Source organism: Homo sapiens, chromosome 1 (genome assembly GCF_000001405.40).
Source record: "Homo sapiens chromosome 1, GRCh38.p14 Primary Assembly".
Classification (NCBI taxonomy): domain Eukaryota; kingdom Metazoa; phylum Chordata; class Mammalia; order Primates; family Hominidae; genus Homo; species Homo sapiens.
Window position 1 is genome coordinate 101,809,185 of NC_000001.11, and position 12,955 is coordinate 101,822,139.

Sequence of the window (12,955 nt, forward strand, 5' to 3'; positions counted from 1 at the left end):
ATCTCCCCAGTAACAACACCTAAATATTCAGATTAAAAGAACACATGATAATGAATGAAAAAAAGATCTACTAAAAGTAGTTCTAAAAAACTACTGTGAAATGTTAGAAGATTAAGAGTAAATTGAAATGGAAACTTTTTAGAGAAAGAATATGAGCTTGTCACATGCAAACAGGTAGAATTAGACCAGAATTGGGCTTCTCATCACCAATACTGGATGCTAGAAGACAATGATGAGGGCCTTTATATTTAGGAAGAAAATCAGAGGAAAACAGAATAAAGATATTTTTTAACATGTGCACTTTCCAAAAATTTACCTACAATGAACTCTTTCTTCAGAAATTACTTGGGGATATATTGCAGTGAGTACACCAAGACAGGGGAAGACATCAGACAAGAAAATAGTGACTTCCTGTCCCAGAATGACAACTATGCAGTGGGCTTTGAGAATAATCAGCCCAGAATGGAAACACAGTTCCAAGAGGGAGGTCTCAGAAATAAGTGGAATTGATACATAGATAGACTGTATGAGATCCTCTAGAGAAACTGGGTAATGCAGAGGCATTTATTGATGTATACAAAATAATTCACTTGAATTTAACTCTGGTAATAGCCTCCATTGAATGGAACAAATATGACATTGGGCTTAAAGAGGAAGGAAATGTGTCTAAGTCCACCACTTAGCTCCCAAGGAACAATATAAACATTGCTATAATAATGTAAACACTCATGTCTAACTTGTAGAATCAGCCCATAAACTAATTACATAAAACTTCTTACAGATCTCATCTGCTCTGTGATTACAGGAAAGCCAAAATGTTTCCAACCATGACAACATGGAAGAATAGGTAAAGTCCACGTTGTTAGAGAATTAAACATTGGGAGAGGAAATGGAAAGAAAGATGGGGGTGTAACTGTCTTCGTATTTTAAAAATATGGAGGTAAGAGATTTTTCCTATTGTTGAAAAATAATGAAGATTCAAATCTAAGACTTGAAATTACAACATTGATAGGGTTGAACTGTGAATAGTCATGAAATCATATTAGGAGGAAACATGAAAGAAAGCAGAGTTGGAGAAGTTATCTAAATCCTCATCTTGCAGAGCAGGAAGTCAATAAACAATGTCTAAAACTGTAAACCAAAATAATTGAAGAAAAAAAGCATGTTAATATAAATATAGACATAATCACTAATAGCCCTAAAATTAAACTGTTAAATGTGGTTGAAACTGCGGAGCAGAGCTAAAGAAGGAGACTACTGCTTTTTATTCTAAGCATACAATTTTCCAGCTACACGCATACAATATTTAGGTTATAATGTAAAAAGTTGAAATAGCTGCAAAAATTTAGTAGCCTTTAATTTTATAAAGCAAAAATCACATTTATATATTCCCTTTTGAAAAATCATTTCCAGGTTTTACATGCCATGCTTCCTTGGGACCAGGAAGTAGATGAAAATGGAAGATGTGAATAGTTTGCAGAAGTGGAAACTGTGAATATTCTGCATTTTAATTTGGCCTTTATCCTGTAAGGAATAGATTGAAACTCTGTTCTTTAAACTTTTAACTCTTACTATTGACATAGCAATCTCTTGCTCTTTAATTCTTTCAACCTTAAAAAATTAGAATTTATATTATGAATTATAATATTTATCACTTAATATATATATCAAAGCTAATAAATTTACAGTGGTTAGTAAATGTGCAGGAGCTGTAATAAAAGATACTGTACATATGATTCAAGTATGAATGATATGCATTTTCAAAGTAGTTAAATGATTACAATCTTGGAAAAATATACTCCTGTTGAAGATCCACTAGTTAAAGGAGAAAATGTTAGTCTAAAACTTAAAAATATTTTAAAAATGTGAATGATTTTTATTATTATTTGAAAAAATATACATACACAGGATCTCAGAAGTCAGTTGAGTCCAATTTTGTTCTGAATACAGATTAATACAATGTCTCGAATATGAAACAAACATAATGTAATGTGCATTCCCACAAAACTTTATACTCAGAGGAAATTACCAAGCGGAAACACAATCTGTAAAAATTTATGGCAACTTCAAGTTCTTTCTATTGTCCAAGTGAATACAGATTTTGTAGTTATGGAGTTTGACTTAACATTTTAGATGGCCAAACTAATGACAAATGGGATCTAATTAAACTAAAGAGCTTCTGCACAGCAAAAGAAACTACCATCAGAGTGAACAGGCAACCTACAGAATGAGAGAAAATTTTTGCAATCTACTCATCTGAAAAAAGCTAATATCCAGAGCCTAAAGGAACTCAAACAAATTTACAAGAAAAAACAAACAACCCGATCAAAAAGTGGACGAAGGATATGAACAGACACTTCTCAAAAGAAGACATTTATGCAGCCAACAGACATATGAAAAAATGCTCATCATCACTGGCCATCAGAGAAATGCAAATCAAAACCACAATGAGATACTATCTCACAGCAGTTAGAATGGCAATCATTAAAAAGTCAGGAAACAACAGCTGCTGGAGGGGATGTGGAGAAATAGGAACATTTTACACTGTTGGTGGGACTGTAAACTAGTTCAACCATTGTGGAAGACAGTGTGGCGATTCCTCAGGGATCTAGAACTAGAAATACCATTTGACCCAGCCATCCCATTACTGGGTATATACCCAAAGGATTATAAATCATGCTGCTATAAAGACACATGCACACGTATGTTTATTGCGGCACTATTCACAATAGCAAAAACTTGGAACCAACCCAAATGTCCAACAATGATAGACTGGATTAAGCAAATGTGGCACATATACACCATGGAATATATGCAGCCATAAAAAAGGATGAGTTCGTGTCCTTTGTAGGGACATGGATGAAGCTGGAAACCATCATTCTCAGCAAACTATCACAAGGACAAAAAACCAAACACCACATGTTCTCACTCATAGGTGGGAGTTGAACAATGAGAACACTTGGACACAGGAAGGGGAACATCACACACCGGGGCCTTTCATGGGGTGGGGGGAGTGGGGAGGGATATTATTAGGAGATATACCTAATGTAAATGACGAGTTAATGGGTGCAGCATACCAACATGGCACAGGTATACATATGTAACAAACCTGCACATTGTGCACATGTACCTTAGAACTTAAAGTGTAATTTTAAAAATATATAAAATTAAACTTCAAAGTGAAGTTTGATTTACCAGCGAAACTGCCTCCTATGGTATAGGTACCTTATTGCCAGACTGAAGCATGATTTGTACAAAGCAAGAAGACACAATTCTGGTATTTGTCTCAAATGTCTGCATATTTCAGATGTTGAGGTGTGCATAATCCGATGTTGATTAGTTGAAACCTGAACAAGAACTGTCCTTGGAGCTCTGAATCATACCATGAGCCTTATCTAATCGACATTTCCAAACAACCCACAGCACATCACTGGCTTGGGGTGTCTTTGGCTTCGATGGTGCTTGAATCTAATCCAGCCTTGCATCTCTATGGCAAAGGGATACTGCTGAGTCTTAGGTTGTTTCGGCCAAAACTTAGGACAGAATTTGTACCGGAGGTTAAAAGCTTCTGGCTCTTAAACTAAACATTGGGTGACCATGGTAAAGTGGTCTTTTGGCTAGTTGACTCTTTTATTTTGTACCTGGTTTTGTGAGGAAAATTGATTCTTACTCCAGTCAATCATACCTTAGAAAGCAAACTTTACTTTCTTGTAGCACTAAGCATTTCTCTGAAATATGTTAGAGGGTAAAAACAATAGTTACTATTTAAAGATATAATAATTAATTTATTCATTTGACAACCATTTACTGTGAACTTATTTTGTACCAGAACTATTCTAGGTGCTGAGAATACAAAGGTGAACAGGGAGGCAAGTCGCGTGTTATAGCTTCCCAAAATACTATTGCTTATGCTTCTCCTTTCTGTTGCCTTTTTTCTTCTTCTTTTCTCTTTTTTAAATCAACTGGAAAGGAAATTTAAAGAAAGAAGTTATATTGGACCAAATCTGTATTGAGAAGAAAAGGACATAGCAATGAGTGCACTAAATATTTGTCAATATTAAATAAAAATTATTGAAATTCAGTCATGAGTACTGTACCATAACAGCATTCCGTTAAGACAGTCTTCTTAGATAACCTGAAATATATCTTATGTTTAGCCATATTTGCCTCTACTCTTCTTCCACAAAACATACTCATAAGCTGTCAACATAGAAACAAGCAAATTAAACTACTGTTCCATGTTTAGTGTTTATAAAAAATGAATATGTGTGTCTAGTAAAAAAATCAAATATAGTTATATTTCACCATAGCTCACCGATTTGTTCCTGCACACGTGTCTTAAAGGTAGTTGTTCTGTCTGTACGATGGAAACTTATCCCTATAATCAGGAAATCAATATATATCTAGTGTTGGCCAGGGAAGGTCTTATGAACACTTATGAATTTAGTGTTTTGCATTATTTGATTCTCCTCTGTGTAATCTTCTCTCTGTCAGGTTGCTTCATGTCTGTCATCCATTAGCTATCTTCTCTCTGACCAGTGACTCAAAATGCCCAATTGCAGGCTTTGTCTTCCTGCTATTACTCTTTATTTGACCTCAGTCCATCACAACTTTTATTCCTGGAGTCAAATCCTTTGGGTAAACTAATATTTGTAGTGTTAATCTAAGAAACATACTTTAAACGAAGAGTTAATGTCCCAAAGCATTAACAATTTAAAAATAATAACTGCATCTTCGGTTTCTTATTCTGAAATAGTGAATACATTAAAAATATTACACTCCAAAGCAATACACTTGCTTAAAACCCAAGGTAGGTATATGATAATTATGTATGAAAATGTCCTTTACTTTTCACTGAGTAGGGGACAAAGTGCTTTGCATAAAGTTTCTCCACATTTGATGACCATGTAAAGTGGTCTTTTGGCTAGTTGACTCTTATTTTTACCTGGTTTTGTGGGGAAAATAGATTCTTACTCCAGTCAGTCTTACCGTAGAAAGCAAACTTTTAGGTGGTTAAAAGAACAGCTTTTGTATGTGACCTATGTGCTTCATTCATTTATTTATTCATTCACCCAGCTAAGGTTTTTTTTTTTTTTTAGCAGAAAGCACTGTTCCAGATACTAGAGTTAACAATAATGAGAAAGCATGACACCTCTGTTCTGGTGAAGCTTACATTTTGGTGAGAAGACAGAAAGAATAAATTAAAAAACAAATAAACAAACAAACTAAACATATCATACAGAAATAAATTTAATGCCAAGATTTAAGTAGGGCAATTTTATAAAGAGTGACTGGGGAGCTACTTGATATTGGGAGGGTAAGGAAGACCTCTCAGTGTGTGACATTTAATTTGAGATCTTATTGACAAGAGAAGGACATTTAGGCATTTAGTTTATTTACTGGAGCAGTTGTTTAGTGGATTTAGCCATTTAGAGAATAGCTAGGGGAAGGCAGCATCTTAAAGTGGTTGGGGACATGGGTTAAAGAGTCGGCCTGGATTTGAATCCTGATTTTATCCCTTATTCGCTGGAGACCTTGAACAATTTTCTAACCTCTCAGTGTTTCATGGGTAACAATAGAAATAATATCGTATCAAAGTGTTATTGAGAAGATTAAATAAAAAATATGGCTACATGTTTAAAATAGTGCTTGGTACATAGTTAAGTACTTAAGAAATAATAGCTATTATTATTGTTATTGCAAAGGCCTTAATACGCTTGATGAATTAAGAGGAGCAAATAAACAGAAAGAAGATCAATGTATTTAGAATACACTTGGAACAGAAGAAGACGAGATTGGAGAGATGAGTAGTCCAGTAGTCCACATTGTTTGTAAACTTTGTGAAGACAAGATTTGGATTTTATTCTACGAATGATCGAAAGTCATTGGATTATTTTAAAGGGGGAGGGGAATGACAGAATGTAAGCTGCACCTTAGAAAGATCTCTCTAGCTACTGTATAGAATATTAATTGTAGAGTGGATAGAGTGTAAACAGTCTCATTAAAAGGTTATCAGTTTTGGGAGGCTGAGGTGGGCGGATCACAAGGTCAGGAGATCGAGACCATCCTGGCTAACACGGTGAAACCCCGTCTTTATTAAAAATACAAAAAAAATAGCCGGGCGTAGTGGCGGGCACCTGTAGTCCCAGCTACTCAGGAAACTAAGGCAGGACAATGGCATGAACCCGGGAGGTGGAACTTGCAGTGAGCCGAGATCGCGCCACTGCATTCCAGCCTGGGTGACAGAACAAGACTCCGTCTCAAAAAAAGAAAAAAAAAAAAAAAGGTTATCAGGCTGATTTAGGTGAAAGATGATGGAAGCAGTTGTGGAGATGGAGAAAAGTAGATGGACTTGGGGTATGTTTTTAGAATAAAGTGGATAGGACTAGGCTTTGGATTAGATGTGAGGAAAGGGAATTTAAAAACTCAAAAAAAAATAATCAAAGATAACATCTAGATTTTTGGCTTGTCCAGCTAGACAGATTGTAGTGTCATTTACTCGGATGAAATGACTGAGGGAGGAATGGGTTTGGGAGCAAAAATAAAGAATCCAACAGGGATAATTCTAAGTTGTTCATGACTATTACACGTATCAGTAGAAACAGCATATAAATCTAGGGAACAGATACTCCTTTGAGTTTTGACAAAACAGTTTTGATGGTTTTTAGCATAATGATGACAGTGAAAGCCAGGGGCTACATATTGCCTCAGAGGGAAGGCATACACAGAAAAGAGAAAGGTATCTAGCACAGAACTCTGTAAATCACAATATTTATAAGACTCATCAAAGAAGCCCAAGAATAAGCTATAAGTTGGATAGAAAAAATAACGTGGTATTAAGAAATCCAAAAGAAGAAAGTGTTTTAAGAAGGATATAGTACTGACCTGTGAAAAACACCACTAAGATGTCTAGCAGCATAAGATCAAAGAAATAACCATAAAATTTGGCAGCAAGAGTCACTGCTGATTACAAAACTCAGAAAAAGTGTGGTGATCCCAGAAAATGAATCGAAGTTGGTTTGAAAAGAACGTAACCAAAGTAGCAGCTATAAAAGATTCTTTCAAGGGAAAAGAAGCAGGGAGACAGGAGTAGGAAAATATGAGATTACAGGAAGTTTTTATTGTTGTGCTGATGATGGTTAAGAAAGGTTTGTTTATAAAAATAATCTAGTAGGGAGCAATACGCTGATGTTGTGAAAGACAATAATTAAATAAATGAATCCCATGAGCAGATGGTAGTTTAATCTGTTTAGTAACCATGAGTAATCATGTGCCTATCTTTCCTTTTATAATTTTTGTGTGTGAGTGTCTGTCTGTTTTTACTCCCATCAATTTCACAGGAAATGTTCTTAGAGTGGTATATTCCATCCAGGTTTGAACACTGAGGCATGAGTTAGGAAGCCTGGTTTCAAATCTAGGCCACAGCATTCAATCATTGTATGAAGTTGGACAATGCCTTATTCTCTGGAGTGGAATTTCCTCATCTATAAAATGAAAATTCTGAAGCTTGACATTTTTTCATTTTAACTAAGGGAACATTGAATAGATAGTGGATCAATAGCATGTATATGCTGGTGGACAGAAGGTGGTATTTGTGGTTGTGGTCAAATAAACACCATCAGCGTTATGTTTATGATCACCATCATCTACCCTTATTCTCAGGAAGCAAAAAGCTGACAGAGCTCTCGATGTTGATTTCTTCTTAGTAGATGCTTCCCTTACAAATGGTTATTGATTTCCTAAGCTAGAATTCATCTTGCCAAATGAAATTAACAAAATTAAAGTTACAGGAATGTATAAAACTGGCAGTGTCTTTGTTTATAATTTTGTGTACCTTAGTGTTAAGTAACATAGGTATCTCCAGATTCTAATGGAGCATAGATACTGTAAAATGTGGTAAAATAAAATAAACAATAAGAGTCATTTTTTACTTCTCAGCTTCCTCACACTAGCCTTTGTTCAAATAAATCATTATCTTTCTCACTTTACTCTCACTTTTTATGAGGACAAAGGGAGCCAGACAGAGAGGATAATTTTCCCAAATGCCTGGAAGACAAATGTTCCTGCAAAGGTGGATGGCAAAGAAGGAAGTTAGGAGTCTTGCTTCATTGATTTTCTCCTGCTATGCTCTTCTGTCTGCAGTAAGATATGAAAACATTAGCATTTATAAAATATTGTATGTGCACATTGCATATATTCAGAAAATGTACTGAAATATACATCTTACCAAATGCAGTAATTGAAGAAAGTGACCGTGACCATTTTATTTCTATCATGACTTTTGGACTTTAAATTTCTTATAGTCAGTTACAATCCATATTTATCAATCAGTAGCTCAGGAAAAGATATCATTTGGGATTCAGCAGGAAGATCAGTTGTTTGGACTAACGAAGTGTAAAAACCATCTGTCCTCTCTTTTATTTGTTTACATATATATAATTATTTCTTATATAATTGTACTCTGTAATATCCTGCACTAATAGCTCTGGATTTGAATCCTAAGGCTATGCCCTTATAAACAAATTAAATGGATTATTGAATATGTTTATGGACAGAATGTTATTTCTTTTTACTTAAGGCCATTAGAGAACTCATGCATTAAGAAATACTTCTGATTTGATCTTTAAAGTCTACCTATTTAGGTACTTAAAATAAGTTTGTCTGTACCATACATTTGGTAGTAAAATAAATTTATATTATTTAAACTTTTATTTGCATGTCTAGCCTTATGAGTTATATTTGTGAGGTAAAGGTAGGGATAAGAATGGATATTTAAAATGTTGTATTGGATAGAGCACCGGAATGAGTTTCTAATGGTTATCTGGCTAATGGGATCAAGAATAATATGAACATTCTAAATAACCAACATTTTTCAAAGTTAACACAGTTTCACCTTTTAAATTATTTTTGAAACTCCCTTGACTCTTCCTTTTACCTTTTCTGGGATTAAGCCTAATTATGAACATATCTTTAAGGAGAAGCCTGTTCAGCATTCAAACTGAATGACAACTTGTGTTATGAAATCCCAACTAATTTTACAATTCCTACTTGACTTTGGAAATACAGGTTTTATATTATTAAGAGGCTCATAACTTAGTTATAATCTAGAAAAATGTAGGAGATAAGAGGAGGATTAATGATAAATAAATATATGATAAAATTTACCAATTACCAAAAATATGGCTAAAATATAACTAAGGTTCCAGAGTTCCAGAAGAAAGAATAAAATGCATAGCAATGGAGACATTGCCATTCTATTTTACAACCTAGAATTTTGGGAAGAGCAAGACTGTTTTTGGTAAATGACTTATTTGAAGATTCAATTTAATTTAAAGGAATAGTCTTATAAATTTCCTCCATTGCATTTCTGAGTCAAATCTCCCACATCTCTACCTCAGGCACACAGCTTGACTTTTTTGTTAATTCCTGCTTTCACTGAGATCTTTCGTGTCTCTTGCTTTAAGTGCTAATAAAACAAAGTATCAGATGTTTTGGAATGAAATACTGCATTGCCATTGAAGAGAGAACAGTTGGCAATGACAACAAACATGAAAAAAGGCTGTGCTTTTATTTTCCTTCCCCCCAAAAGCTTTTTGGCTTTGTAAAAGATATCGATGTGTTTTATATTTGACACACATTGATTTATTTCTTGAAAGCAACTTAAAGCTTTTGATTTTACAAATCAAATTTGCTCTTGACCATTCTGCAGATACTAATTTTTGTCCACTGTGTTTCAGGTATATTGCAATGGTCTCCAGAAATTCAACTAGAACAAGACATTGATTCTGATCTCTCAGTGCAGGGAGAATTTATCTATAAGGGTGTAAAGATTTAAAACAGAAAAACAAATGGGCATTTTCTGTAAAATATGTTAATGTACTAAGTGTCATGGGAGAGTAGGGGAGGTGGTTGTGGGAGACCATGCCAGGGGACTCCAACCACATTAAGGAAAAATCATGGAATAGTTAAAGTGGGAAGGAAGGGTGTCCCATGACAAGGGAGAGCAAGTTCAATGTCAAGAAGGTAAAGAAAGCATGCGCAATTGAGAAACTGGAAGATTAGAATGGTTAAAGCTTAGAGTAAGTGCATGATGAGAACCTGAGAACTCAAGGCCTGGAGAATCAGGCAGAGCCCATTTCATGAAGACAAAGCATGCAAAGGTGTTTGGATTCCATTTTAAAGGTAAACCACTTGAATACAGGTGTAATATAACAAGATTTGTATTGGGGAAAGATCACACTAAATATTTTTTAGTGATGGAGAGCCAAAACAAATGATCAGGAGGCCATTTGAGTAATTCAGTTGAAAAATCATGAATGACACTCTGAATTCGGCTGGTGGAAGTGAGGATGCAGAAGAGCTGGTTTTGAGAAATTGGTGAGGGGGAGATAAAAGATGTGGCGATTGCATGGCGGTGTGAAGTTCAGAGAAGAATTAAGAATGAATCTAGCCTCTTTTTTTTCTACAACAATTGGGTGGATGGTGGTTCTAGTCATTAAATTAAAGTTATTGAGGTATCTGGGGGGGTCTTTATTATTTTGTACTCCACAAAAGACATTATGTATGGGGAAAGAAATCTCAGTCTTTGAACTCAGAAGGACTTCCATGTAAAGTGATTGCCTCTAACATGAATCTTTGGCAAGTTAATTTAAACTTTCTGAGTATCTGTTTTAGTGAAGTTGATACTAATGCCTAACCCAGAGTTCTTGCATAGATTTGAAATAGCACATGCAAAGCAGCTGGCCTAGCGCTTGTCAAGCAGTAGGCATCCAATATTGCTGGAGTTATTGACTTATGTGTCAGTTGTCCCCACTAAAATATAACCTTGACAGGAAGAGGAAGATGGTCTCCTTCCCATCCTTGTATCCACAAATACCTAGCAAAGTGCCAGCACACATTAGAGAGTCAATAAATAATTGTTAAATTAAAATATTAGCCCATAGATACTTTGGTTCTTGTTTAAAAACTAATTTGGCATAAACGGTAAAGACAGTAACTCAAGTCTCTACTTGTGACCTTAAGTTTCTAATCTTCCTTCTGTTAAACATGAAGTCCCAAAGCTGTGTAATAGAACCTAATGCTTCACTAGATGGCACCAAACCATTGCCCTAAAACAGCACTAACAGGAGGGAGTTGGGGCAGAGGACTGGAAAGCTGGAAAGCCTTATTATAATCTACATTAAATATCTATTTGGTGTTCTTAGGGGTGTGTACAAACTTCAATCATGTTTTTTCAGTCAAATTCTCACATCCATACAATTACATTCTGCATATCTAGAAATGTGACATGATTCAATTAAGAACAGGGGACTTTATCCTATTCCATCTTTCATTGGAGTACATTAAGAACTTAGAAAAGGACATTACTGTACCTCATTCAGGCCAGAGGTCCATCGCTGTTGAGAGATTTTCCTAATTTCTCCAAACCTTTAATTTTCTAGTAGAAATAAGCAAAATGGTGCCCATGGTGCCCCAGTGGTCTTGATGACTTATGATTCCTTCGGGATCTTATTTACTATTTGGGGGTAACCTAGATTTTGCAGGCAATAAGACTAGCTTGGTTTTTAGCATCTTAAAATTCATGTGATGTATGCTGTGACATTTATTTAAAAGCAAATCCACTGAAAAAGTGAGGGAAAACACATTCATCATTGTTGTAATTTTATTGTTTCTCTCTAATCCATTTCTACCCTCTACTAATTGGCTGTGTGGGTTGAGAAGCATTTGTGTAGAGTGAAGATGTCTTTGATGAATAAGCCTTCTTGCTGTTGTTACTATATTGCTGATTCTGTAATTATCCAATGTCCCACTCTAGATCTGAGCAGCATAGCAACTGGATTATAGGCCCTTTTGGAACAACTGAACCCCTGATATGCTTTTCTTTCTCTACCCTTTCTGTTAATGGTCCTGATGTTAACATCAGTTTTCTTCCCCAAGTCTATGCATTCTGATATATGGATAATTGGGTATTTGTTTATGTGATAATATTAGCCTTGGAGTTCAAGGGTTCTCAGAGATGAATTGATCCAAACTGTACCAATTGCCAGGAAATGTAAATACTAAATTGAGTGTTAATCAAACTATAACCTACTGCTATACTAAAAGTTATATATTTGATTTCTTCTGCAATTGTCTATATACATACATATATTTATGCACTATATATAATATAACAACATATATAATATATACTACCACACATCTTCTTTCAAGTAGAGTGGCTCTTTTAAAAATAAAAATATGAAGTTTCATTTATTTATTTTTTCAGTAACCATGTGGCTTTATACTTCACTGTATAATGACTGTATGGCTCTGCCTGGACGTTTTCTACATTGTAATTAAGGGTTGTGGTCCAGCGGATAAAATATCCTCTTTGCTCAGGAGATGCTCAATAAGTGGTTAATTGACCTAAACATGTTGGGATAGTAAAAACTAACCAGTTATTGAGATAAAAAGCATGAAAGAGTTACATTCATTGTTTGTGACAATGGCCCCTCTACTAAGTAAATAAGAAACTGAAGGCTGCTAATAATCTATGAAAGCATTTATGAAATGTGGGAACTATTTTCAGTATTTTATAAAGTCATCTCGATTAACTTATATAGCAACCATCTCATTAAATAAGAAAGTTGAATACCGATTTTATTGCTATTTGATATTTGTATTATACTAGTTGCCAAGTTTTGTTTTAGATTAGCTAAAATAAAAATAAATATTGATTAACTAATGCAGTTTATTTGACAATCAAATTCTTTCTAACATTGTGGCCCACTGGATAAAATTAATTAAAAAGATCTGTGATGTTACAGATATTAAGGATCAAGTCCTAAGCATAAGGATGCTATAGAAATATTATGCAAAGTTCAATAGGAAGAATAAAAAGGATGAATGCGTGCCTACTTAGATTAACTATCTTTGTCCAAAATATCGGAAGAGGCTATATTTGGGGGGTTAC

The 12,955-nt window shown here is 34.7% G+C and overlaps 1 protein-coding gene across 7 annotated transcripts in view; it reads right to left on the minus strand.

Annotated features, from left to right (window-relative positions):
• OLFM3 (olfactomedin 3) overlaps nucleotides 1-12,955 on the minus strand; it is a 194,367-nt gene that overhangs the window by 6,625 nt on the left and 174,787 nt on the right. For 3 of the 7 annotated variants that reach the window (NR_110211.2, NR_110210.2, NR_110212.2), the window contains one exon: nucleotides 3,226-3,962. The exons of the other annotated variants lie outside the window; for them this stretch is intronic. The gene's annotated coding sequence lies outside the window, so the exon portion shown is untranslated. The remainder of the gene's footprint in view (nucleotides 1-3,225; nucleotides 3,963-12,955) is intronic. 7 annotated transcript variants of the gene reach the window in all.